The following is a 26,712-nucleotide window of genomic DNA, read 5'->3' as shown; positions in this document are numbered from 1 at the left end:
TCAGCCCCGTTCTTGTGTTCTGTTCTAAGTGAATGAAACGAACATGACGCTGTAGACATTGATGGGTTTGAAGGCCTAAAACGAACAAGTTTTGTTGAACCAAGATTCTTTCTCGTCTTTGTCCTTTTCATGCTAAGGAATTTCCTGTCTCCATTTCTTCTGTTCCCACCCTACTCTACACCCTCATGATTCCCTAACAGGACCACTTTAACAGCCTCCCAACACCCTCTTCCTCTTCTCTATACGATTCTGCTCTTAGCAGCCAGATTCTCTTTAGAACACGCATGCTGGAACATGCCACTCCTTGCTTTAAACCCCTCAGCAGCTCCCTACTGCTCTTAGGGTCTCAGTCTGCTCCCATATTCTCACTCACCCAACTCAGAATGTCCTGACCTCTGAGGCCTCTCACCCTTAGCCTACACCACTTCCTGCCCCTCTGGGAACTGCAGTCACACTGGTACTTTCTATGACACAAAGAGACCCCCACACACACCATGTGGAAGTCTTCTGCCCTTGCCCTGTGTGTTCCTAGGCTGGCTCTCAACTTCGGGTCTGAGCTGGAGCATCACCTTCTCAGAGAAGCATCCCCTGATGGGCCTAAGGGCTCCTCCCCAGTCATTTGGTCTCAGAACTCCCCTCAACTTCCTCCCTTTTACTTAATTTGCATTTAACTGCTGATTTGTCTTTCCCCCACCAGAATGCTAACTTCTCAAGGGTGGTAATCTGTTTTTCTTGTCCTCCCCTGGATCCCCAGCCCCTAGCAGTGCCTGGTAATAGTAAGTCCTCAATATATAGTTGCTGAATGAATTTATGATTACTTTTTGTAACAGTGAAAGATTGCAAAGAATCTAATTATTCAGAAATAGGGTATTTACCAAAACAATTATGATAGAATTAGTCAGATGTGGTGGCTCACACCTATAGTCCCAATGACTCAGGAGGCTGAGGTAGGAGGATCACCTGAGCCCAGAAGGTTGAGGCTGCAGTGAGATATGATCACACCATTATACTTTAGCCTGGGCGACTGGTTGAGGCCCTGTTTTTTTTTAAAAAAAGTTATGGTAGAATCATGTGATTGCCTGTTATGCTGTATAGAGGAATATATTATGGAATGAAAAAAATTACTAGTCCTATTTTGTGAAAAAAAAATCTATCAACATTTGGTTGTTTTTTGTTGTTTGTTTGTTTGTTTGTTTGGTTGCTGTTTTAAAAAAAGACTGCAAGGACAGCTACCAAATATTAGCAGTGTTATCTCTGGGATGAGTGATTTTTCTTCTTTTCCTTAAAATAAATTGTGTATTAAGTATTTCCTACAGTGAAACAAGTATTGCTTTTATAGTGCAAACATGATTCTAAGCAGAGCTGTGCAATGCTGACCTGGCATGGGGTGGGAAGAAGGGGGTTAGGGAGGCGGTGCTTAGGGTCCAGAGTCTGAGTTGGCCTCATTCTGGTTTCAGCTCTGGAAGGAGTGAAGAATGAGTCCCCGGAGCCCATCCAGTCCCTCATGGATGACATACTGAGGGCTCAGGAAGATGCCCCCTTGCAACCTGCCTCAGCTTCCAGGCTGAGTCACCTAAGCAGCTTCTTTCAGAAAGCCTCTTGTGCCACAGGCACACTCAGGAAGAAGTACATCTTCAATTGAACAAGAAATAATATGAATAAAAAATGTAAAGAATAAAAAATGCACTGCCACACTGGTGGGGCAGGAGGGTGAAAGTCGTGCCCCTCACAATAGGTAATGTCTATAAAAGGACAACCGAGGCCAGCACCAAAGTTCACCTGCAGAAGGCGGGTCTGTCTCAACACCAGCTGCCAGTCACTGTGAACCTTTAGAATTGGGGCTGTAGCTTCTTCCAGTTGTTTGCCCAGATGTCAGTGAGACCACTCCATGGCAGACAGGGGGAGCTGTGTGTCAGGGAAGTCCCAGCCACTAGGACAAGCCGCACTCCAGGCAGACGTTTCTGCTCTTGTGCAAAGAACAGCGCAATCCATTCAAGTTCACAGGGGCAGGTGGCACTTGAAAATGTCAGGGTCAACTTGCAGGGCAGAAGTTAGCAGGGAAGTCTTCCTGGGGGAGTGGGAGAGCCCAGCAGAGTTTAGGAGGAGAGAAGGGCGACATCGGGGCAATCCTCTGAGTCTCTCTTTCCTCCTCAGGAACTGTTCAGGAAGACCCTGCAATCTCTCTGCAGGCTCATGGGAGCTCCCAGAACTGAAGCAACATACAGATCCAGGCCACTCTAAGCTCTGCCTGCATTTTCACAGGGCACATTCTTGTGTATATGTGTGTGTGTGTGTTTGGTGCGTGTGTGTCTGTGTGTGTGTTCTCTTCTTAATAAAACCAGCAATCACTGGACTAAGTAGGGCCCACTTTTATCCACTGAGCTCCCCTTACCTTGGTAACATCTGCAAAGACCCTATTTTCAAACAAGGTCGCATTCCGGGTTCTGAGTGGACATGAACTTTTTCAACCCAGTACATCTGGGAACAGAGCAGTCAAGGGTAGAAGAGATCAACCTGAGGATGAGGTTTGGATGCAGAGTTTTGAGAGAAGGGTGATCAGAGCTAGGGTCTAAGCAACATTGGTCTGCTCCCTTGGAGGAGAATTTTCCCTTTTTCCTTCTGCCCTTTAGCCAGTGCTGCGGCCACCTCCTCTCTCATAGCTGGCATTTAAAAGCCAAATGGATGCCACAACCTTCTAATGCATCTAGATATGCAGCAAAAATATTCAAAAAATTCCAGCAAGGTCAAAATAATCTCAGGCCTAGATTTGCCACCAGTGCCCTCTTCTGGGCAGCTTTATTTTATAGTAGTGTCACAAAACACTTGTTTGTCAATATATGTATTTGTGCACTAAGTGTCACCAGAAAATATATTTATGTCTGTTGGTTACAGCCTAAACAGTTTAAGAAACCATGTTTAGATGTTTTCCCAGTCAGGAAAGGCCAAACTAAAAAGGGGTGTGTGTGTGTGTGTGTGTGTGTGTGTGTGTGTGAAAAAGAGAGATGGGGGCCCCCATTCCACTAAGAAGAAGGCCAAACTAAAAAGGGCTGTGTGTGTGTGTGTGTGTGTGTGTGTGTGAAAAAGAGAGATGGGGGCCCCCATTCCACTAAGAAGATGACAGAGGCCGTGCAGGTTTTTTCTCTGTGATATCCCCTCCTCCTACAAATCATGCCCAGAGGAGGGATCTTGAGGACCTGCCCCTGCCTCCCCAGACCCATCTCCACACCCAGGCCATCCTGGGCAGAGGACAGCAGAGCTCACATCTCTGTGGAGAGCAGACTGGGCTCACTGCAGGCCTCTGTGTCATTGTTCATCTTCACTTCATAAGTCTCATTCTGAGACCTCTCCTGACACACCATGGCTATCTGGCTCTCCTGGGAAAAGCACTTACAACATTCAAGATAGAGAAAATCATCAGCAGCTGCCAACCCTCCTCCCCTTCCCTCAGCAAGTAAGGCATCACGCATGCACATATGCACACATGCACAAACACATGAACTTGTGTATATACACACACACAGGCACACACACACATGAACATGCATGCAATTTCTGTGGCCTCATTTTCTTGTGATGGCTGATGAAGGCATGACGCCATGGAAGTGTTAAGATTAGGGAGAGGGTTCCATGTGGGAGGATGTCTGGTGTGGATCCAAGGAGATCTGAGTCCTGACTCCAATTCACTTACCCTCTGGCCCAAGTCACTTAGCCCACCCCATGCCTCAGTTTCTCTTTCTATGAAATAGGAGTGACATATGCCCTGCCTGACTCAGAGGCCTGTTGTGAGTTACAAATAAAGCAACAGATAAGACGGCGCTTTGAGACTGGGAAAAGTCAGCTTTGACCTAACGGTCCTGGGCTGTGCCATAAAGGGCAGGGTGGGCCTGTGAGGAGGCCCACCTGTGAGGGCCTGCCCTCCCACCCCTACCTGCAACAGCTGAGCCTTTGGGCATTAGTTTGGCACAGCTGAGATGTCTGTGGTATCCTGTTTTGATGGTGCCCTTGATTCTGACACCAGCTCCCTGCAGTAAAGGCACAGAAAGGAAACCTCACCTAGGAGGGTTTGCTCTCCCAAGCAGAGGGCAGTGAGCCGGAGTCCCTACTGAGCCTGAATCCTTCCTGAACTCCTGACCTGCCTTTTACCAGAACATGTCTTTCCCTATGGGGACACAGTCCTCTGCTCACTGGGTCCTGTCTTCTTCAGCTCTGAGCCATGAGCTCTTCCTTTTCCTGTTTGTGCTCAGCTCAGTGCCTCTCTCCATCTTTATTCCCAGACCCCAGAAGGCATTAAGGGAAGATCCCAGTCCATCTTCTTGGAGCTGAGAGCTGGATCAGTGCCCCTGGCTTTGAGGCAGGGTAGGGGCAGTTCTCTCTCAGGGAGGCCTGCAGATCGCCACCTGCCCCACGGTGGGAAGGAAAGATGACAGGTGGGAGCTCCAGGTGGATTGGGAGGGGAGGGAGATGGAGTGGGCTTTGGCAAGGCATGGGGGGATAAGCTTGAGATGCAGAGTGGCAGCAGGCAGGCAACAGCATTTCTGGAGACCACCAGGCACAGGACGTGCTGGCCTGTCCTCAGGACAAGCAATGCCAGGGCCTGAGCTGCCCTTACCCTTCAAGACGAGGCCCGAGAACTGGAATGTGGGCTATGCTTTTCTTCACCAAACTGAAGCTTGGCACCCTGAGTGTTGTTTGTACCAACTGCAGTAGGCAGACAGGGAACCAACGCTTCCTGAGCACTGACTGTGTGCTGTGCACTGTACTGTGTGCTTTCTGTTTGTTTGTTTCATGGAGAGATGTATCTCTGGGGAGAGGGAAATCCCCTGAGAATCCCCCCTCTCTCCAAAGCCCCCGCCACCCCAGGTTCTCTAAAAATCCCTCTCCCCTTATGTCACAGAGAATAAAGCTTCACGGGAAAATGCCCTTAGAAAGGGGGATTTAATTCACTCTGAGATGCTAAAGATGGCCACGGAGACCTCCTTAAGCAGAGGCTTTCAGGAGACCAACAGAGAAGAAGGCAGTGCAGGGACCCAGCGTGTCCTCAGCCTTGGCTAAATAAACCTGTAATTGATTGAAACATGTCGCAGTCACTTTTTGGTTAACAAGGTCAACGGAGGCACAAGCACCAAAGTCCACCTGAAGAAGTTGGGTCTATCTACGAACCACTTGTGAGTCACTGTGAATATTTAGAACTGGGGGCTAAAGCTTATTCCAGTTGTCTGTCTGGATGTCAGTGAGGCCACTCCATAGTAGATTCTCCCACCTTTGGTTTAATGGGATGGACAACTTTGGATTAGGACTAAGGAGGTAGATTTGATCTTGGAAGATACCTTAGGCTTCTTGTCTCTTATCTCCCTAGGAAACTGTTGGCTGTCAGTATCTATACTAGGGGTAAGCCCAAGTGACAGAACAGTTCTGGAAGCATCTCCTTGAGTTTTCAGGAAAGGTTTCACTGACACAAGAAGAGAGTAGGGTGGCAGAGCAGCATCGGGTTTGGTTTTCAATTCCCTTTTCTATCTCCACACGTGTTGGGTGAAATTCACAGGGTTGCCACACTCCCGTGGGTATATTTGGATTACGGATGAGAGCATAAGAAGGTGGGCTGTGGGATACATACAGTGGAGTGCTGCTGACTACAGCCCCCGTCATGTAAGAAAGCACGTCAGATTGCCATAGAACAAGTTATGCTATTGTTGGAATAACTGAAGTTCATTCTAATTTAGTTTTTAAAATCATTCTGAAACTTTCTCCCCGCTACCGCATAGTAGTTGAAGGGTACTCCGTTTTCCCGTTTTCTGTCCTAACCAAGAAACAGAGAGTGCCTCAACTGTCCTGTGACCCCATCAGCTACACAATTTGCCCTGCAGGCTGGAACCCAAGGTTTCGCTTCGAACATTCCCAGACACCTACAAAGGTGTTTAGGTTGTTGCCCCAAACACTGAGAGGAACTGGCCAGGCCCTGAGCCAAATGCCTTAATCTCTCATCAACTCCATTCCCTGATCCTCGTGCTGCAGACCTCGCTAGGTAGAGCACCTCTTTCCCTAACTGCCTATCTGGAGGAAATGGTGAAACCCAGTTTCTACCTAAGTTCTCGTAATAAATTTGAACTGATCACCCTGGCATCTAGTGCTTCTTTCTTTGGGATTCCAACTGGTCCCATCTTGGGATGGCTTGCGGTACTCCCTTGTGGGAACTCCCCTGATGCCAGCAGTGGCACCCCAGATGCCACTGCTAGGGTGACTCCAGCTGTGAATTCACTGGAAAAGAACACAGGTATTCCTGACTAGTTCTTTATGCTCCTTCAAAGGTCAGAGCTCAATATCGTTGCACCTGATTTCTCATCCACAAAATGGTATTTATAACACCTCTGTGGAACTGTCCTCCAATACTCTTCTTCCTTTTTAAAAAACCATGCATTTGGCTGCCTGGAATGGAGAATATGTTTTCCACCCTCCCTTGCAGCTAGGTGTGGCCACGTAGCTAAGTTCTGACCAAGCAGTGGAAGGCAGAGTCCCATATGGCACTTTCAAGAAGTATTCTTAAAGAGCAAGGGCACATGCATTTCTATCCTGTCTGTCTTCTTCGTGACTAGAATGAAACACGATGCCTGGGGCTAAAGAGTGATCTTAAACCATCAGCAGGAAGTGATATATTAAAAGGCAGAAGAGCCAAAAGATAGAAAGAACCTAGATCACTTATGCTAGCAGAGGTATTCATCATTTTGCACAGTTTACCTTCAGACTTTGTTCATAAGGGGGCAAGGGAGTGTGAGTTTTCTATCACAGGCAAACCCAATCCTGAGGGATTGACTTAATCTATCAACGTTGCTGTGAGGATTTAAGGAGATAATATAAAATCCTTAGCAGTTTTTCTGGCATGAAGTCAGAGGGCAACTTTTTTTTTTTCTCAAAAGTAATGAAATATTAAGGCTATTGAAACTTGGTTCTGAGAACACTGAAAGATATGGAAAGACCATAGAACCTGTTTCCACATTGGCCAGAATGGACTGACATTACATCTTTAAAGTTGGTCATAATCAGAATGTTTTTCACTGCTTCTAAATTGTATGCACTATTGGATAAAACTGGAACAGTACATGGCCAGGTGCGGTGGCTCATGCCTGTAATCCCAGCACTCTGGGAGGCCGAGGCGGGCGGATCACGAGGTCAGGAGATCGAGACCATCCTGGCTAACACGGTGAAACCCCGTTTCTACTAAAAATACAAAAAAAAATGAGCCGGGTGTGGTGGCGGGTGCCTGTAGTCCCAGCTACTTGGGAGGCTGAGGCAAAAGAATGGCGTGAACCCAGGAGGCAGAGCTTGCAGTGAGCAGAAATCACGCCACTGCACTCCAGCCTGGGTGACAGAGAGAGACTCTGTCTCAAAAAAAAAAAAAAAAAACTGTAACAGTACTGACTCCATGTTAGAGAAGAGCTTGTTTGCTTGAATACAGTTATTGCTTTTCCTGAGACTGTAGATTATTCATTAAAAACAGCCTCAGAAATACAGGACCTTCAGCAGACATAAAAGAAAAAACACTGACAAACAACTCTGGGAATGGGCTGAGTGGCTTGATAAGAATAGCCTGATGGTACCTGCAGAAGGTCATACAACACTGACCAAGAAAACAGTGATTGCCTGCCTGCCTGTCTGAGACTTCACATGTTTCATAAGAATGCTCTGATCAGCCAGGTACAGTGGTTCAGACTGGTATTCCTAGCACTTCAGGAAGCTGAGGTAGGAGGATTGCTGGAGGCCAGGAGGATGAAACCAGCCTGTGCAAAAAAGCGAGACCCTGCCTATACACAAACAAAAATAATAATAATAATTAATAATAATATTGGCCGGGCGTGGTGGCTCACACCTGTAATCCCAGCACTTTGGGAGGCCGAGGTGGGCGGATCACGAGGTCAGGAGATTGAGACCATCCTGGCTAACATGGTGAAACCCCGTCTCTACTAAAAATACAAAAAATTAGCCGGGCGTGGTGGCGGGCGCCTGTAGTCCCAGCTACTCAGGAGGCTGAGGCAGGAGAATGGCGTGAACCCGGGAGGCGGAGCTTGCAGTGAGCGGAGATCACGTCACTGTACTCCAGCCTGGGCGACAGAGCGAGACTCTGTCTCAAAAAAAAAATAATAATAATAATAATAATAATATTAGCTAGGTATGGTGGTGCATGCCTGTCATCTTATCTACTCAGGAGGATCACTTGAGTCCAGGAGGTCAAGGCTGCACTGAGCCAAGATAACATCACTGCACTCCAGCCTGGGTGACAAAGTGAGACCCTGTATCTAAAAAGAGAGAGAGAAAAAAAGCTAAGGCTATTTTCAGGTTAGGTCAGGCTTAGTAACAAAAACTTTTTGTGAAATGCTTCGATCATTGTTTGCCCTGCTCCTAATTTCCCTTAAAACCTCCCAGATCAGAGAGGTGGTCTTTGAAGATGAGTTCACAGCCTCCCTCGAGTTTTTGGCTTCCTGAATGTAGCTAACTTTCCCTTTCACCAACATTCGTCTCTAGACTTTTGGCTTTCAAGCAACAAGTGACCTAGATCTGGGTTTGGTTACAAATTTTGGCAAGCCCAGCCAGAAGCCGTGTGCTCTGGGCTGTTTGCACCCTGTCAGCTCCCAACAGACAAAGCAATTGGTCACAGCTTCATACCAGGACTAACTCATCCATATTGTTGGGAGGACTTCTTGGTTCCCAAGAGGTGGAGCAATTGATGGCGGCAGCAGGTCAGGGCTAACTCACTCACATTACCAGAGGTTAGCGGCAAATGCTCCGTGGCACTGGCTACTCATGGCAGAAGGGAACTGCAGAGACAGCCCCAAAGTCTGCCAAAGAGAGGCTGCCAAAACTCTTTCTACTTCAGGGAAACTTCCTCCTTTCCCCCATTCAGTACTGACTGCCTACCTTTGCTTTTAGTTGGTGAGAGGAAACTAGCTTTATTTTTTTTATTTTTATTTTTTTTGAGATGGAGTCTCGCTCTGTCGCCCAGGCTGGTGTGCAGTGGCGCAATCTCGGCTCACTGCAAGCTCTGCCTCCTGGGTTCATCCCATTCTCCTGCCTCAGCATCCTAGGAGTAGCTGGGACTACAGGCGCCCGCCACCATGCCCGGCTAATTTTTGTATTTTTAGTAGAGATGGGGTTTCACCTTGTTAGCCAGGATGGTCTCCATCTCCTGACCTCGTGATCCGCCCGCCTTGGCCTCCCAAAGTGCTGGGAAACTAGCTTTTTGGATGAGCTGATGAGCTGTACAACCAGGTAAGTCTACTGGGGTGCAAAGTAGTAGTCCACTTTCTTTACCATTTGGGCCTTTGGACCATTTGTGGTACCACTGGTAGAAGAAATGACTCATAGTGACTCCATACCAGTCTCTTCCTTTGTGAAAGCCTGGGTTGGAAAAGTGCTTCATTTGTTTTGGTTGTGTTTTGTTTGTGTCCACCATGGGAAGTTTTTTTCATCAATCCCCTCTCAGAGCCCGCTGTGGTTCATATTGGCTGACTGGTAAGCCTACAGTGATAACCCTACGACAAAAAAGATAATCTACTGCAATAAGGTGTGGCCAATGTACGTGATACATGAGGAAGATAGGTGGCCATTACATGGTTCTTTGAATTTACAGCTTGAACATTTCAATCTGAGATCAGGAAATTGGGACTGCATACCTTATATTCAAGCTTCTATGTTGGTACATAATAAGCATGCTTCCCAGAAAGGTTGCTGGCTGACGGTGCAAACAGGACCATATCAGGTAAAATCTCCTCACTCTCCATTACCTGAGGAGGAAGAGAAGGAGATAGGATAATCTTATCAACTATAAACCCTCCACAGGCAAATGATGCTGAGGCTTTGCAGGTGCCTGTCCCATTGCAGCCTGCTCTGGTGCCTGTGCAAGTTCCCATGGAGGCCCCAGCTGCAGTACCAGCACAGTACCCTGAGTTGCCCCATCTCTGCCCCCTCCACCAGAGGATTATCCAGATAATACAGACTTACAGGGTGTGGTGGCCCCTCCTCATTTTAAAGGTAGCCAAGAAATAGGCTCCCCTTTTAAGACCTGACAAGGCAACTAAATTTGACCAGAGCGTACACCCTCATGTGGCAGAACAATTTCTGTTATGCAAATTCCCCGCTGGAGGATTAAACGCACAGGGCCATACTCCTGGGCTATTTTGGTTATTCACCATTTTCTATCTTTGACTAAGTAAATTGAAAAATATTCAAGTCCATCCTATAGGGATGATCCATAGGAGATGACTGAAATATTCACCAGTATTTTTTCTACTCATCATTCCACAATAGCAGGTGTACAAGCATTATTAAATTTTATGATGAAAGGGGGTTATTTTTAGACAAGACTAATGATGGAGCCAGAAGGCTATACCAGCAAGACCCTGCTGGGTCCTCCAACACCCCAGAGGCAATTTCCTTAGTGAAACTCAAGTGAAACCTTAATAATGAGGTTATATCTTGACTGTAGGATTACTCCTAAGAAAGGGAGTACCTAAGCAGCAAAGCCTCAATAAAAAACATCCATGACCTCTGGTAGGAGGCCAATGAAAACCCAGCCGCTTGGTTGGAACAAGTGTATCAGGCTTACAGAAAATATTCAGATATTGATCCAGAGGCTCTGGAACATGTTTGGGTCATAAATATAACTTTCATCAGCCAAAGTGCTTCTGACATTAACAGAAAATTAGAAAAGCAGGAAGGGACTGTTGGAATGAACCCTTCCCAGTTTACAGATATTGCTTACAAAGACTTCAATGCTAGAGAAACAAGAAAAGCTAGACAGGCAACCATTTTTGTGGAGACTATTCAAAAAGGTGGAAGAATGAGGGGTGAAATAGAAAGGAATCCCTAGACAAGGACCAGTGTGCCTACAGTGGGGAAATCTGGACATGAGAAGTATGCCCCCCAAACCTACAGAGAAAAGATGGTAATAAAAAAGACAAGGGAGAGGAAAAGGGAAATATACGCCAAAGAAGGAGATGGTGGAGCAGGATTGTGACTCTGATGAAGACTGATTGGGCACAGGGACTCCGCCTGATTTAACAGAGCAACAATAATTTCCCTACAGGAGCCCTGGGTACAAGCGACAGTGGGGAACAAAATGACTGGCTTATTGGTTGATACTGTCGCAATGTTTCCAGCCAAGGCTGGAGTCACTGGGAAGTTACAACAGAGACTCTTTCTTAAGCCCTAAGAATGTAAATTGAGGGATATAAGATTGAGGTATAGCTTTCTGTATATGCCACATTGCCCTATTCCATTGTTGGGCCAAGATTTGTTATGTAAATTAAATGCCCACGTCACTTTTGCTCCTGAGAAACAACATCTAAGAATCCAGGTATCACCCAAACATGTCCTATGCCTACAGGCACTGGTGATTCAGCCAGAGAAAAGAACTCAAGAACCATTCCTGCTGGAAGTCTACAACAGAGGGAGTAGCACTGTTTGGGAAGACAGGGAACCTGAACTAGCAGTCAAAGCTCAGCCTGTGCACGTTGAATTTAAAAAGGCATTAATTCCACATAAAAACAACACTGCTTAAAAGGTAAAGAATTAGAAGTCATACAGGGGGATTACACAGGTTTCTAAAGCACAGACTTATTCAATCATGACAGTCTCAATACAATACCACTATCTTGCCAGTGAAGAAACCAAACTCCAATTAGTATCAATTTGTGCAAATTTGAGAGCTATTAATGACATCGTTCAAGATACCCACCCAATCGTGGCTAACCCATATACCCCACTTACAGCTACCCCAGGGGATTATGGCTAGTTCTCAGCATAGGAATTAAAGGATGCTTTTGTTCAGTGTCTACTAATTGAGGAGAAAGCCCAGTTGTTTTTGCACTTGAATGGCAAGATCTGGAGACTAGGGCAAACTTCCAAAACTGCTAGACTGTACTGCCCAAATATTTAAGTATTCCTTTACCATTTTTGAAAAAAATCTTACTAAAAGATTTGAGAAGCTTGCAATTAAACAGGGGAATACTATTACAATGCATGGGTAATTTACTCATTGCTAGCCCCACTTATGAAGACTGTTTATACCAGTTTTTGTTTGATTGTTTTGAAACAAGGTCTCACTCTGCCACCCATGCTAGAGTGCAGTGGTGTGATCATGGGTCACTGCAGCCTTGCCCTCCTAGGCTCAAGCGAGCTTCCCACCTTAGCCTCCCAAGTAGCTGGGACTGCATATGTGTGCCACTGCACATGGCTAATTTTTAAAATGTATTTGTTGTAGAGATGGAGTCTCACAGTGTTGTCCAGGCTGGCCTTGAACTTTTATGCTTAAGCGATCCTTCAACTGTGGCCTCCCAAAGTGTCTGGATTACAGGCGTGAGCCACCGCACCCGGCCAATACTAGTTTTAAACAGCCTGGTGGAATTGGATCATAAAGTATCTCTTTGCAAATATGCAAAGAGCAGGTAGTCTATTCAGGGGTTTGCCTGCAATAAGGTAGGCAGAGTCTGATGCCTGACAGGTAACAAGCAATAGCCACTATCAAGGCTCTCAAAAATCAGATAACTAAAAGGAGTCTTAGGTATAGTTGGCTTTTGTCACCTTTGATCCCTAATTTTGGTCTCCTAGTAAAGCACTTATCTGAGGCATTTAAAATGTCAGAGTCGGAACCTTTATATTAGACAGTGGAATGCCAACAGTCATTCAATAACATTAAAGAAAAACTAAGGAAATTCTTTATGGGCCCCCAAGATATTTACCCTAAGATAGTTACGTTGAATTTCACCCTGACCATGTAAATTGATGGCTTATCTTCACAGGCATGGAACAAGACACATAAGTCATCCCTCTTCTCACCTGAGACAAATGCATATCTGATTGCTCCCCCTGCCTGTTTATCTTATGTAAAAATGCAGATTCATTGAACTAGATGAATGTTTAAGTGACTGTTCCCCTACCCTCTTACATGTGAAGGCTAATCAAAGACTCAAAAAGAATGCAACTGCTTGCCTCGTATCTACCCATACCCTTTTAAAAATGTATCTTCTTCTTTCAATACCTGGCCTTTTCCCTTTAAATATTGGGATCCCAAGACCCTCTTTGGAAAAAGCATGAAACACAATGTTTCCTGTGGATCTACGTTCTTTCCTGGGCATGTCCTCAACCTCAGCAAATAAACCTAAAATGATCAGGACTCACCTTGGTCATTTTTCTTTAGTTTACATTTCCTAAGCTACAGACCTGTGCAGCACATGACTATACTGAATACTGTGGGCAACTTCAACATGATGGTATCTGTGTCTCCAAATGTCTCAACAAAGAAAAGGTACAGTAAACATATGGTTTGAAAGATAAAAGTGGTATGCCTCTAAAGGGCACTATAGCATTATAGTATTTACATGTCTTTGCCCAGGGTTCCTGGCTCATAACTTCTATGGCCCTCATTATAGTCTTGTTACAGTGCTGGGACACTTTAGGCTCAGAAAACAGACTCTCTGTCTCTGACTTTCTCCTGCCCTCCTTTCACCTGCCCAAGGCAGGACTCTGCACATTATAAGATCCTCATTCCAGAGAGGGTCCTGCCCATCCTTAGGAGGTGAGAATGCTGCACAGAGAGGCCAAGAAGAATCTGGATAAGCCTTGGTGGGTTATCCTATCTCATACAACTAGTGTTAGATCATCCCTTCTGGTCCAGTTGTATTTGTACATGGTTGTCAATCATGTCTACCCAATGATGTCTCCATTGAAGGCTCAAGAGGACAGGGCTCAGGGAGCTTCTGGAAAGCTGAACACGTGGAGGCTGACAAAACTCTTCCCTATGCCAGGAGGGTGGCACACCCCAACTCCACAGAAGCTCCTGGGTTAGGGACCCCTCCAGACTCACCCTATGTATCTCTTCAACTGGCTGTTTATTTGTATCATGTAAAATACCCTTTGTAATAAACCAGTAAACATAAGTGTTTCCCTGAGTTGTGTGAGCACTCTAGCAAATTAATCAAACACAAAGAAGAGGTCATAGGAACCCCAACTTGAAGCTGGTGGGTCAGATGTTCTAGAGACCTGGACTTGCTATCTTGGGAAGGAGGGGACAGTCTTGGGAGACTGAGCCTACAACCTGTGGGATCTGATGCTATCTCCAGGTAGGCGGTGTCACAATTGAACTGGAGGACACCTAGCTGGTGTCCCCTCCAGAACTGCTTGCTTGCTTGGTGTGTGGGGAGAAATTCCCCTGTATGTGGTCATAGAAGTCTTCCATGTTGATGGTTGCTGTGGTGTGAGAGCAGAAGAAAAACACATTGGAGGTGGTTTTTCCACACACAGGCACTTACTATGAATGGAGCTTGCAGGACTGGAAGTTGCTCTGGGTGAGTCAGGGAGTGTGTGTTGCATGCAGGTGAAAGCCTAGGACATTACTGCACACTGTTGTGGACTTTATAAACAGTGGACACTTAGGCTACACTAAATTTGTTAAAATATTGTTCTTTCTTCAGTAAATTAACCTTAGGTTTCTGTATCTCTTTCACTTTATAAACCTTTTAATTTTTTAAACTTTTTGACTCTTGTAATAACGCTTAGTTTAAAACACAACTGTAAAGCTTTTCTTTATAAGCTTTTTTCTATTTAAAAAAAATTTTTTTTAGTTTTTAAACTTTTCTGTTAAAAATTAAGACACAAACACACACATTAGCTCAGGCCTAAACAGGGTCAGGATCATCAATATCACTGTCTTCCACGTGTTGTCCCACTGGAAGGTCTTCAGGGGCAGTAACACGTATGAAGCTGCCGCGTCTTATGATAACAATGCTTCCTTCTGGGATATTTCCTGAAGGATCTTGGCTGAATCTGCTTTTCAGTCAGCTTCGTTTTTGGAAAGCAGAGGCCGGGCATGGTGGCTCACACCTGTAATCCCCGTACTTTGGGAGGACAAGGTAGAAGGATCACATATAGCCAGGAGTTCAAGATCAGTTTAGACAACAGAGCAAGAACCTGTCTCTACAAAAAGTAAAGATAAAAAAAATTAGTTGGGTGTGATAGTGTGCATCTGTTGTCCAGCTACTTGGGGGACTGAAGTGAGAGGATGGCGTGAGCCCAGTTCAACACTTTAGTGAGCTATGATTATGCTGCTGCAGTCCAGCCTGGGCAACAGAGCAAGACTCTGTCTCAAAAACAAAACAAAACTAGAAAGAGTACACTCTAAAATAATAATAAAAGTATTGTAAACACATAAACCAGTAACAGTCATTTATGATCATTATCAAGTATTGTGTACCGTATGTAACTCTCCAAGCTATACTCTTATACACTGGCAACTCAGGTTTGCTTATACAAGGACCACCACAAACATGTGAGTCATGCGTTGTGCTACCATGTTATGATAGTTACTATGCCACTAGGTCACAGAAATTGCTCAGCTCTGTTATAATCTATGGAACCACCTTCCTGTATGCAGTCTGTTGTTGGCTGAAATATCGTTATGCAGCCCGTGACTGTGCATTGGCATTTGTCCACTTGGCCTTCAGCCTAGCTTTGTACTTTGTCTTTGACATTTTGGTTTCCACTGCAATTTACTTCAGGCTTGGACTCCTTGAGGATCTCTCCAAACCTGCCATGGTCTGTTTCTTGCCACCAGTCCCTAGCTGCACATTCTTAGGGCAGCTGCCCCAGCTTAGTCTGATTTATGGGGCCCCTTATCTCGTAACTTTTAGAATCTTGACCAAGTCAGGCTACCCGGCAGGAGGAAATGTCAAAGGCAGAGGCAAAAGTGGCCCTCTCACTTTATCTGTATCTCCAGGGTCTTCCTTTGCATGGTCTCCTTTCCTTCCACCCTCAAGTCCATTCCTCTCCTGTTTCTCTCCGCCCCTCCAGGTTTCCTCCTTTAACCACATCACCTAGAGTCATCTTCACCGTGCAAAGTGGTTTTGTTCAAACTAATGTATTAACACTCAACTCAGTGCAGTTGCCCTTTGAATGATCACACCCAGGAGACTTTTTTCTAATTAGTGTTCACCTTGACTGTACTATATTTCAGTGTTGATCATTTTGTCCTTTGGCTCAGATAGCTGTAAACTGCCTTCTATTTCACTGATTCATCATTCTCTCATCTTCCTTTCCCATCTTCAAATGTGGACATTTCTTAAAGGTCATTCTCTCTTCCTCATTTTTTTTCAAAAACTTTTAAGAAAATATACATAATAAAATGTACCTTAACCCTGTTCAAATGTACACTTCATTCATGTTGGACATACTCGCATTGTTGTGCGACCAGTCTCCAGAACTTTTCCTCTTGCAAAACTGAAATTCTTACACCCGTAAAACAACTCCCTATTTGCCCTTCCCCCAGCCCCTGACAATCACTCTTCTACTTTCTGTCTCTATGAATCTGACTACTCTAGCAACCTCATGTAAGTAGAATAATACAGTATTTGTCTTTTGACTGGCTTTTTCACTGAGTATAATGTGATGGTTAATTTTATGTGTCAACTTGGCTGAGCCACCGTACCCATACATTTGGCCAACATTATTCTGGGTGTTTCTGTGAAGGTGTTTTTTGGATGAGATTAACAATTAAATCAATGGACTCTAAGTAAAGCAGATTACCCTCCATAATGTGGGTGGACCTCATTCAATTAGGTGAAGACCTTACTAGAGCAAAGACTGACTTCCCCTGAACAAGGAGTTGTGCCAGCAGACTGCCTTTGGCCTTGAACCATAACTCTTCCCTAGGTCTCCAGCCTGCCAGTCAATACAATCAGATTTTCACTCACCAGTCCTCTACAACTGCATGAGCTAATTCTTTAAGCTTCTTTTTCGCTGTGTAGATAGACACACACACACACACCCACACACACACACACACACCCTGCTGGTTGTTTCTCTGGAGAACCCTAATACAAATAATAGCCTCAGGGCTCATCCATGTCATAGCATGTGTCAGAACTTCCTTCCAAGACTGAATCATATTCCATTGTATGTATATACCACACTTTATCCACTCATCTGTCAATAGACACTTGGGTTGCTTCTACCTTTTGGCTGTTGCGAATAATGCTGTTATAAACACAGGTGTGCAAAAATGTCTTCAAGACACTGCTTTTACTTCTGTTGTTTACAAACCCAGATGTGAAATTGTTGGATCATATGGTAATTCTATTTTTAATTTTTTTCCATAGCGGCTACACCATTTTACATTCCCACCAGCCATGTACAAATTTCTAATTTCTCTATATCCTTGCCATCATTTATTTTTTGTTTTGCTCCTTTTGGGTTGAGGTTTTTTCTTTCTTCTTTTTTTTTGAGACAGGGTCTTGCTCTGTCACCCAGGCTGGAGTGCAGTGGTGCAATTATAGCTCACTACAGCCTTGAACTCCTGGGCTCACACAATCCTCCTACCTCAGCCTCTTGGGTAGCTGGGACTACAGGTGTGTGCCACGATTACCCCCTAATATTTTTTTAAATTTTTTGCAGAGATCTGGTCTCACTATGTTACACAGGATGGTCTTGAACACCTGCCCTCAAGTTATCCTCTCGCTTCAGCTTCCCAAAGTGCTGGAATTGCAAGTATAAGCCACTGTGCCTGGCTGTGTGTGTGTGTGTGTGTGTGTGTGTGTGTGTGTGCAATAGTAGCCATCCCAGTGGATTGCAGTGGTACCTCATCGTGGCTTTGAGTTGCATTTTCCCAGTGACTGGGATGTCGAGCATCTTTTCATGTGCCTGTGGGCCATTTGCACATCTTTTTTTGGAGAAATATCTATTTAAGTATTTTGCCCATTTTTTTAATCAGATTGTTTTCATGTTGCTGAGATACAGAAGTTCTTTATATATTCTGGTTATTAACCCCTTATCAGATAGATGATTTACAAATACTTGCTCCCATTCTGTAGGCTGCCTTTTCACTCTGTTGATCCTGTCCTTCAATGCACAGAAGTTGTAACTTTTGTTGTTGTCCAATTCATCTATTTTTATGTTATTTTACAAATCCCTCAACTCATCATCAATTTTTTTGTTGCCTGTGCTTTTTGGTGTCATAGCCAAGGAATCATTGCCAAATGCAATGTCATAAAGCTTTTCCCCTCTGTTTTCTTCTACCAGTTTTATAGTTTTATAGCTTTTAACTTTAATTTTTAACTTCATTTTAACTTTAGAAAATCCATCTTAAGTTAATTTGGATATATTGTATAAGACAAGGATCCTACTTCATTCTTTTATATGTGGATACCTCCTTCTTTTTGGAAACTTTTCCTTTCAGTAATCTTACTACCTCCACAGCTTTAGTTTAGATGTTTTTTGTTGTTGTTGTTGTTTCCCAGGGGTGATCAAATCCATATATCCAGCTTTTACCACCTTCCTCAGTTCTAGTCCCCCCATTTTCAAACACCACTGAAAATTTAGTTTGACTAAGTACATCAACCTATTATGTGAAGAAACAACATGTCCCACCCCCACTACGGTGTGGCTTAATGAGCTAAAGTAACATATCAAGATAGACATAATAATCCAAGAAACTGGGGTTCAGAGAAGTAAATATTATTAGGGTGCATCTTGCGCTGTTCCACAGTGAGGCATATAGGGTTTTGGGGACAGAACAATCTAGTCTCTAATAATGTTTTCTCTTATAGCACAGGCACATTTCATGAGCCTTTCCCACTACCTAGGTGTTCCAGTTTGGATGTGGTTTGTTTGGCCTAAGTCTCATGTTGAAATCTGATTTCCAGTGTTGGAGGTGGCGTCTGGTGGGCAATGTTTGGACCATGGGGGTACATCCCTCATGAAAGGCTTGCTGCCCTTATGGCAGAAGTGACTCAGTTCTCACTCTTAGTTCCCGAGAGAATTGCTTGTTGAAAACAAACTTGTACCTCCTACATGCTCTCCTTCTAGAAGAGGATCTAAGGAAATTTATAATAAAAGCAGAGGAACGCTGAAACCAAACCCAATTCATATCAGTAATAGCTACCATTTGTTAAGCTTCCACAATGACATGTAAGATGTTAAGCCCTTTATGTTACCAGGATTATCTCACTTATCTCATAAGAATTCTAGAACATAGGTCCTATTATTATCTTTATTTTATTCGTGAGAAAAGCAGAGACTCAGAAGGCTTAAGTCATAGGCCAAGGTCATTCAGCCAGTTGAATGGTGGAGTGGGGAATATCTGGATCCAGGCAGTCAGACTTTTTTTTTTTTTTTTTTTTTTGAGACGGAGTCTCGCTCTGTCGCCCAGGCTGGAGTGCAGTGCCGTGATCTCGGCTCACTGCAAGCTCCGCCTCCCAGGTTCACGCCATTCTCCTGCCTCAGCCTCCCAAGTAGGTGAGACTACAGGCACCCACCACCACGCCCGGCTAATTTTTTTTTTTTTGTATTTTTAGTAGAGACGGGGTTTCACCGTGTTAGCCAGGATGGTCTCGATCTCCCGACCTCGTGATCTGCCCACCAGGCAGTCAGACTTTATTAGAAAATGCACTTAAAATTAGCAAGAAGGAATGAGAACAACAACAACAAAATTAAAAAATGCTTGCCGAAGAAAACTAAAACAATGTACAATATTTAGCCCTGAGATCACTAGCAGTGAAGGCAAAGAAGAATGCATAATGGGTTTCTATAGCTCTTACTGTCCGGTTATAGAAAATATTTCTACATTAGTACAAGCACTTTTCTTCCTAAGCCCTGAGTTTTGAGAGTTTATCAAGAAGGCCTCTGAGTTCATTCAATTAATGGCATCATCTAAGGCTGTTTAATAACAAATGCAGAGGTAGTCCACATAAGGAACTTTTGCCTTTACCTTTGAGACAAAGCCCAGGGCCTCACGTTAGGAGTACAGCTCTCTAAATATAAGCCTCCAGGGCAGAAGCGAGGGGAGGATGGAGGGACACAATGCAGATTTACAGCCTGGTGGGTACGGCCTTTGTCCTCTCCATGTCTATTGTCACTCTTGAGGTCTAAGCCTCTACTGCACTGCTTGGTTTACTGCACAACCCAACTTGGCTGCTTGCTTCTGGTCTCTCCAAACCATCCTTCACACTGCTTCCAGCTTACTATTTCCAAGACACTGCATTTGCAAATCCACTCCTCTGTTTAAAAATGTTTCAGTGACTTGCAACTTGTCTACAGTGTGAAGTATAAATTTATTAGCTTGTTGTTTAAAGCCTTCTACAACCAGACCCCGACCGACCTTCACGTCCTATTGAGAGGTGACAGCCTGCTGGCAGCCCTCGCAACCCTGGCTCGCTCTTGGCGCCTCCTCGGCCTTGGCACCCACTCTGGCCGCGCTTGAGGAGCCCCTCAGCCCGCAGCTGCACTGTAGGAGCCCCTTTCTGGGCTGGCCAAGGCCGGAGCCAGCTCCCTCAGCTTGCAGGGAGGTGTGGAGGGAGAGGCGCAGGCGGGAACCGGGGCTGCGCTCGGCGCTTGCGGGCCAGCGCGAGTTCCCGGTGGGCGTGGGCTCGGCGGGCCCCGCACTCGGAGCGGCCGGCCCGCCAGCCCGGGGCAGTGAGGGGTTTAGTACCTGGGCCAGCAGCTGCCGTGCTCCATTTCTCGCCGGGCCTTAGCTGCCTCCCCGCGGGGCAGGGCTCGGGACCTGCAGCCCACCATGACTGAGCAGCCCGCCATGACTGAGCCGCCCGCCGGCGCCCCAGCCATGGGCTCCTACGCGGCCGGAGCCTGCCCGACGAGCGCCGCCCCCTAATCCGCGGTGCCCAGTCCCATCAACCCCCAAAGGGCTGAGGAGTGCCGGTGCACAGCGCGGGATTGGCAGGCAGCTCCACCTGCTGCCCCCTGCCGCATCCACTTGGTGAAGCCAGCTGAGTTCCTAAGTCTAGTGGGGACCTGGAGAACCTTTATGTCTAGCTAAGGGATTGTAAATACACCAATCGGCACTCTGTATCTAGTTCAAGGTTTGCAAACACACCAATCAGCACCCTGTGTCTAGCTCAGGGTTTGTGAATGAACCAATTGGCACTCAGTATCTAGTTAATCTGGTGGGGACTTGGAGAACCTTTGTCTAGCTAAGGGATTGTGAATGCACCAATCGGCACTCTGTATCTAGCTCAAAGTTTGTAAATGCACCAATCAGCACTCTGTGTCTAGCTCACGGTTTGTAAATACACCAATCGACACTCTGTATCTAGCTAATCTAGCGGTGACCTGGAGAACTTTTGTGTCTAGCTCAGGGATTATAAACGCACCAATCAGCACCCCGTCAAAACGGATCAATCAGCACTCTGTAAAACAGACCAATCAGCTCTCTGTAAAATGGACCAATCAGCTCTCTGTAAAATGGACCAATCAGCAGGATGTGGGTTGGGCCAGAGAAGAGAATAAACACAGGCTGCCCTAAGCCAGCAACAGTAACTCACTGGGATTGTCTTACCAGAGTATAGAAGCTTTGTTCTTTTTGTTTTTTAGGTCTGCACTGCCTTTACGAGCTGTAACACTCACTGTAAATGTCTGCAGCTTCACTCCTGAAGCTAGTGAGAGCACGAACCCACCGGGGTGAACGAGCAACTCCAGTACACGCCGTCTTAAAAGCTGTAACACTCAGGCGAAGGTCTGCAGCTTCACTCCTGAGCCAGCAAGACCACAAACCCACCAGAAGGAAAAAACTCCGAACCTATTGGAACATCCGAGGGAACAAACTCCAGACACACCGCCTTTATAAAACTAACACCGTGAGGGTCTGTAGCTTCTGTCTTGCGTTAGTGAGACCAAGAACTCATCAATTCTGGACACACTATCAACTTTCTGTTTCTCCAAGGGTGCTTCTTAAACTGGATGATTCACACCCTAGGAGTGTGTGTGTAGAATGGGGTTTGAAGCAGTAGGGTAAAAAACCTAGCGTACCTTCTATTCCAGAGGTGTCAATTTACCAGACAACAGTTATTTTAAAAATTTTTTATGCAAAAACATGTTATAGGGTGGAATGCAACATTTTTATGAGTTTGTGGGCCATTTGTATACATCTTTGGAGAAATGGCTATTTAAATACTCTGCCCATTAATTCTAAACTTAAAACTACGACTCCAAAGACCCTCTAAGGATTTTGCTGGGCCACATCCCAAGACCCTGAAGGGTATTACTCGCCCTCTCCAAACTGCCGAAGTCGGAAGCAGGTGACAAAAAAGCTGACCCTGGAATCACCTTTCGCAAATTTCCCACCTCCAAGCTTTTCGATAGTTTGTAACACTGGCTCCTCTCCCCAAAAGCCTTCCCTTCAAGTCCCAGCGACTCTCCCTGACCCTGCTGGGAAGGCGCACCAATTACCTGTCATTCCAGGAAAGCTCATAGCATAAGATGATCCCATTGGTCATCTCCCAGAACCAGACTTTCTGAAAAGTCCTTAAGGACCAGCTAGTCCAATCCCTCACTGAATAAAGGAGAAGCAAAGTCTAGGGAGGTGAGGTGATTCGTTGTCCTCCTAATTAGCAGGTGAGCTCCTGGCAGGGCTGGGGTTTCATCTTCTGGGCTCTCTGCAAGGTCGTGCCCGGCACGGGCCAGGAACAATTTCATAAACTCGTCATCTAGACGGCCTTTGACTGACACCATCTCTCCGTGTGGAGGAGCCGCTGGGGTGCGCGGGGCAGGTGTCGTCCGTTTCAGAAGTAAAATAACCCAGCTGCAGATCTCCAGAGGCCGACTAGAGCCGGGGTCAGAAAACAGGTTTTCCCTCTCGGGGACAGTGCCCAGGGGACGGGCATTAGAACATCGGCTGATGTTTCATCTGGTCAGGGAACCATCCAGGGATTAGTACACCTGGCGCTAATCGGCGGGGATTAATCTCACACCCCGCAGCTGGCGGAAAGCAGCGGGAGGAGGCACCTAGCCCTGGGGTTGAGATCCAAGTTCCTGCGCGCGCAAACCACGCCCCTGTGGATTCTGGCTGCTGCGTGTTCGCGCGCGTCCCGGAGTGCGCATGCGCAGCGGCGGGGGTTGTTCCGGCAGCCTTTCACTGAGGGGACCCGCCAGTTTCAAATTCAGTGGCGTTTGCCCTGATTCCCGGGGCCTGGCTTTCAGCGTAGCAATTCTGCCGGCGAAGAAGGTGAGCGCAGTGCTGTGTGGCAGCAGAGGTCCTTAGGACGAGGAGCAGCGGGACGAGGAAGGGCAGACTGGTGAAATCGCAAACTGGGCGTCTGTTCCGGCGCCGGACCCCTGTTTGCAAAGGTGGGTGGCCCGTCCGGAGCGGGAAAACATTCCGGAGGTGGAGGGCTGGGCCAGCGTGATTGACAAGCGGGAACCCCTGTGTGGGGACGGGGCAGGCCTAGGAAGGTTGTGCCTGCGGTGGAACGGCGCGGTGCGCAGGAGTGGGCATTAACAGCAGCCGCGTGTCTGGGTCTTAGATTTGGCCTAGCTGTGTTGAGCTTTTCATGGATTATGTTACGTAGATAAGACACTGCAACAGTGAGTGAGCGCTTGTAACCCACCTGTCTCTTACAGAAACTGAGCCCCAGCGATACTAACTTTAGCAAGGATACAGCTGGGATCCTAAACTTGGCGATCAGAGCCCAGAGCCGATAAAGTTAGCTGCGTGAGTCTAGCTTCCCCCAGGGCGGGAATCGAGGCGGAGCAGGGTACAGTACGGAGGCCAGGGATGAGTGCAGTTGACCAGATTGTTGACGGAAGTGTCATAAAAGTGGACTTAAATGTTGATAAGCAGCTGGTTGGGTTCCACACAGGGTGCGAGCTCAGGATGCACGTTGGAGGGGACACAGGGCCAGAGCAAGGTGGGAATGCGGGTATTATGGGCCAGGCCATCCTCCAGCTGGTGGAGCACCGCAGCACTGCAGTATGTGGCCCTGGCTTAACAGCAGTGCGGAAAAGCTTTTCTCTTGGGGCTGTGGTGCTTTCCAGGTGTGTGAAGTTAAAACATTTTAGGGCCATACGGTAGGTAGCACCTGCCACATAGTTGTCTTGGTCAGCCCCGGCTGTCATGACAAAATACCATAAACTGGGTGGCTTAGACACAGAAATGTGTTTTCTCACAGTCCCAGAGGCTTGGGATGTCCAGGATCAATGTGGGGAGGACACAACTGAGCCCACAACAATAGTCTGTACTCGGTAATGAGTGATAATTGGGGACTGAAGAAAATGAACACGTTAAGAACTAATATGTTCCTGAAGTGCTTTCACAACTCTAACCTCGTTTTATGAGCATGAGCTTTGCTGTCCTGGTGTGTGCCTTGGCACTGGGAGGTGATGGTTGTCCTCCACACAGCCAACCTGAAGAGGGCTGAACAAGTCACTGCAAATGTTTTTAATAGGGCTTAGTGAATCCGTTATACTCAGATTTATCTAAACCTCTATGATTTAGCCTGTGCTGCTTCTGGAATAATGAGATCCATAATTACCACTGATGGGGAAGTGAGATAATACTTAACATTTCTTCTGTATTGTTTAGTGTTGTCATTCTAGAGTTTGGTCACCAAATCTGTCTTTTTTATCCCACTTACCCTGGTGGGAGGAAAAGTGAGGAGATAGAAAGTTTCAGGTGGCTTGGGGGTCTGGCAGATGTGGTTCAAATCCTGAGTTCAAGCACTTGCTGAGTGACCTTGGGCAAGTCATATAAGTTTACTGAGTCTCAGTTTCTTTCTCTATAAAATAGAGCTTATAAAAATACCACACAGGGTTTTTGTGGGGTTATCTGAAAACGGTTTGAAACCATTAAAGAACTGGCCATTTAACTAATAGGTATTCAAGTCATGGGACCTCCGTTACCCAGCCTCGGAAGAGAAACCTTTACTTACAGCCCCGATGTCTGGCTGGCTCCTCATTCATTCATCAGATTTTTGTTGAATGCCTATGAGGTGTTGAAGCACCTAGTTCTGAGTCCTGGAGCCAGAGAAGAGCAAGACAGACAAGGTTCCTCTATTTATGGAATGTATATTCCAGTGAGGAAGAATAAATAGGTTCAGATGGTGCTAAGAGCTATGAATAAATTAAATACAGAGTAATGTGATTTTTAAAAAGTGACTTAGAGCAAGCTAGGGGGTGAGGAGTGGGGGTGGTGTTTGACCACTGTCCAGCGGCCAGACAGCCGGAGAGGCTTCTCTGAGGAGGTGAGCCAAAGCCTGGATATTGAGGAGGACTCCTTCTCCAGGCCAAGGGGAGCAGCAAGTGCAAGGCCCGAGCTGAGTAGATGAGGCTGGGAGCCAGACCAGTCTCAGGCTGACCAGTGCTCTGTCTTGAGAGGAGCTGCTGGTCAGCTTTTTGTCTTGGGATTCAGAACGAGGAGACATGAAGACTTTTTACTTGGCAGTGGGAGCTGAAGCTGAAAGGTCCAGGGGCTGATGAGGCCACGTGTAAGCGAAAGTTTGGGATAAGCAGAAACCGAGTGCGCTGAGGGAGTGAGATTGTGGCTGTATCCGGCGCCTGGCTGAGCAGGAGAGTGAACCCCGTGGGTGTGTGTTTGCTGGTGACGTTCCTGGAGCTGTCTTGAAGTCCGAGCTGCCTTGCAGCTCTAGTCTGCTTCTGTTTTTGGCTTTCCCAGATAGTTTCAATTCTTACTCTCAGTTTGTGAACCTCCCTTCAGTGAACCTCCCTTTACTTATGCTGGATATCTCTTGCGACTGGATGAGCTTCACTAAAGCACAGTCATTTGGACCTGGATTCGAATCCCTGGTTTTCCACTTTTTAGCTGTGAGTTTGAGCAATTATTTAATTTCTGTAAGCATCAGTATCCAGTAGCTGTATCCTTATAGTGTTGTACAGATTAAATGAGATAATAAAAGCAAAAGACCACTGTAGAGTGTTTAACACATAGGAGGTACTCAAAAATTTGTTAGGTACCTTTCCTCCCCTTTCCTTCATGTGTTAAAGCTTTTTCAGTACATACCCCTCTCTCAGGATTGAATTGTAAGTCATATTTTTTAATTACCCTTCTTGTAATAATTCCTCTACCTCTGTAGTCATGTTTTTCTTTTTTCATTTTTTCTTGTCCCCAGAATGTCTAACAAAACAGCCAAATACACCTCTGTAAAGACAGAGGGTAAAATAATGCTAGTTCTGTGAGTTCTCTTCTTGTGCAAATCCATAAACTGCCACCAATCTGTAGTCATTTTAATTGCTCCTAAACCGAAGAGCATCATGGCAACTACCTTTCCCCTCGTAGAGTGACACTATCACTAGTCTTATTGAGGCCAAAGTTATAAAGATGGGCTCTCGATCTACTAATATTAGTAAAATGGGTTTGGGACTTACTAACATTTGTGCTTAGAAGAGACAGACCTGGCAAAGAGCTTGGAGAAGTGAGTTCCAAAGAGAGAGGTGTGGGAACCAGGATGGAAGAGTCAGGCCTCCAGATAGCGTTTACTTCTCCTTTCTTCCTTGAATCACTGTCTCACAGATAATTAGGTTCAGAAGAGGAGAAAAAAAAAGATGACGTCAACATGGAGCAGAGTTTTTCTTAGACCTTAGCCTAGCAAGGAAAGAGAAATGCCTGGTCTCAGTGCTGGGAAGCTGTTCCAGCCAGAGCCCCGTGGCTGTGAAGAGAGCTCTCCTGTCTGGAGCCAAACAGAAAGCTCATAGGTCTTGAGGCCAGAAAAGTTAGTAGGTGGCGGCTCTGGTCGGTGCTGGAAATGGAGGCCAGGATGAACTAAGAAGCAAACTAAAGATACTTGTAAGATAAGGACGTGTAGGCTGGGTGCGGTGGCTCACGCCTGTAATCCCAGCACTTCGGGAGGCCAAGGCGGGCGGATCACGAGGTCAGGAGATCGAGACCATCCTGGCTAACACGGTGAAACCCCGTCTCTACCAAAAAAAAAA

General features: G+C 46.0%; 2 pseudogenes across 2 annotated transcripts in view, besides 3 other annotated features; one reads left to right on the top strand and one right to left on the bottom strand.

Annotated features, from left to right (window-relative positions):
• The window catches only part of OVOS1P (ovostatin 1, pseudogene), a 127,984-nt pseudogene extending 105,174 nt beyond the window's left edge, over positions 1-22,810 (bottom strand). Inside the window, exons 1-2 of the transcript NR_153413.2 lie at positions 22,219-22,810; positions 9,663-9,773 (exon numbers count right to left, since the gene is read on the bottom strand). The product of NR_153413.2 is annotated as an ovostatin 1, pseudogene (transcript). The remainder of the gene's footprint in view (positions 1-9,662; positions 9,774-22,218) is intronic.
• Positions 1,791-1,840: a silencer, noted in NCBI's record as "silent region_4228". NCBI's record gives its function as "represses an Ori minimal core promoter by ATAC-STARR-seq in GM12878 lymphoblastoid cells {active_cell/tissue: GM12878}" and the evidence as "EXISTENCE:reporter gene assay evidence [ECO:0000049][PMID:35858748]".
• Positions 22,842-23,062: a silencer, noted in NCBI's record as "fragment chr12:9600631-9600851 (GRCh37/hg19 assembly coordinates)". NCBI's record gives its function as "represses an EF-1alpha promoter that drives an FKBP-Casp9 reporter gene in an ReSE screen in phorbol 12-myristate 13-acetate-treated (for megakaryocytic differentiation) K562 erythroleukemia cells {active_cell/tissue: K562(+PMA)}" and the evidence as "EXISTENCE:reporter gene assay evidence [ECO:0000049][PMID:32094911]".
• Positions 22,925-26,712, top strand: part of DDX12P (DEAD/H-box helicase 12, pseudogene) — a 30,482-nt pseudogene continuing 26,694 nt past the window's right edge. Inside the window, exon 1 of the transcript NR_033399.1 lies at positions 22,925-23,115. The product of NR_033399.1 is annotated as a DEAD/H-box helicase 12, pseudogene (transcript). The remainder of the gene's footprint in view (positions 23,116-26,712) is intronic.
• Positions 23,168-23,287: a silencer, noted in NCBI's record as "silent region_4227". NCBI's record gives its function as "represses an Ori minimal core promoter by ATAC-STARR-seq in GM12878 lymphoblastoid cells {active_cell/tissue: GM12878}" and the evidence as "EXISTENCE:reporter gene assay evidence [ECO:0000049][PMID:35858748]".

This window comes from Homo sapiens, chromosome 12 (genome assembly GCF_000001405.40).
Source record: "Homo sapiens chromosome 12, GRCh38.p14 Primary Assembly".
Taxonomy (NCBI): Eukaryota; Metazoa; Chordata; class Mammalia; order Primates; family Hominidae; genus Homo; species Homo sapiens.
The sequence above is the reverse complement of the archived record's forward strand: the minus strand, read 5'-3'. Positions and strand labels throughout refer to the sequence as shown.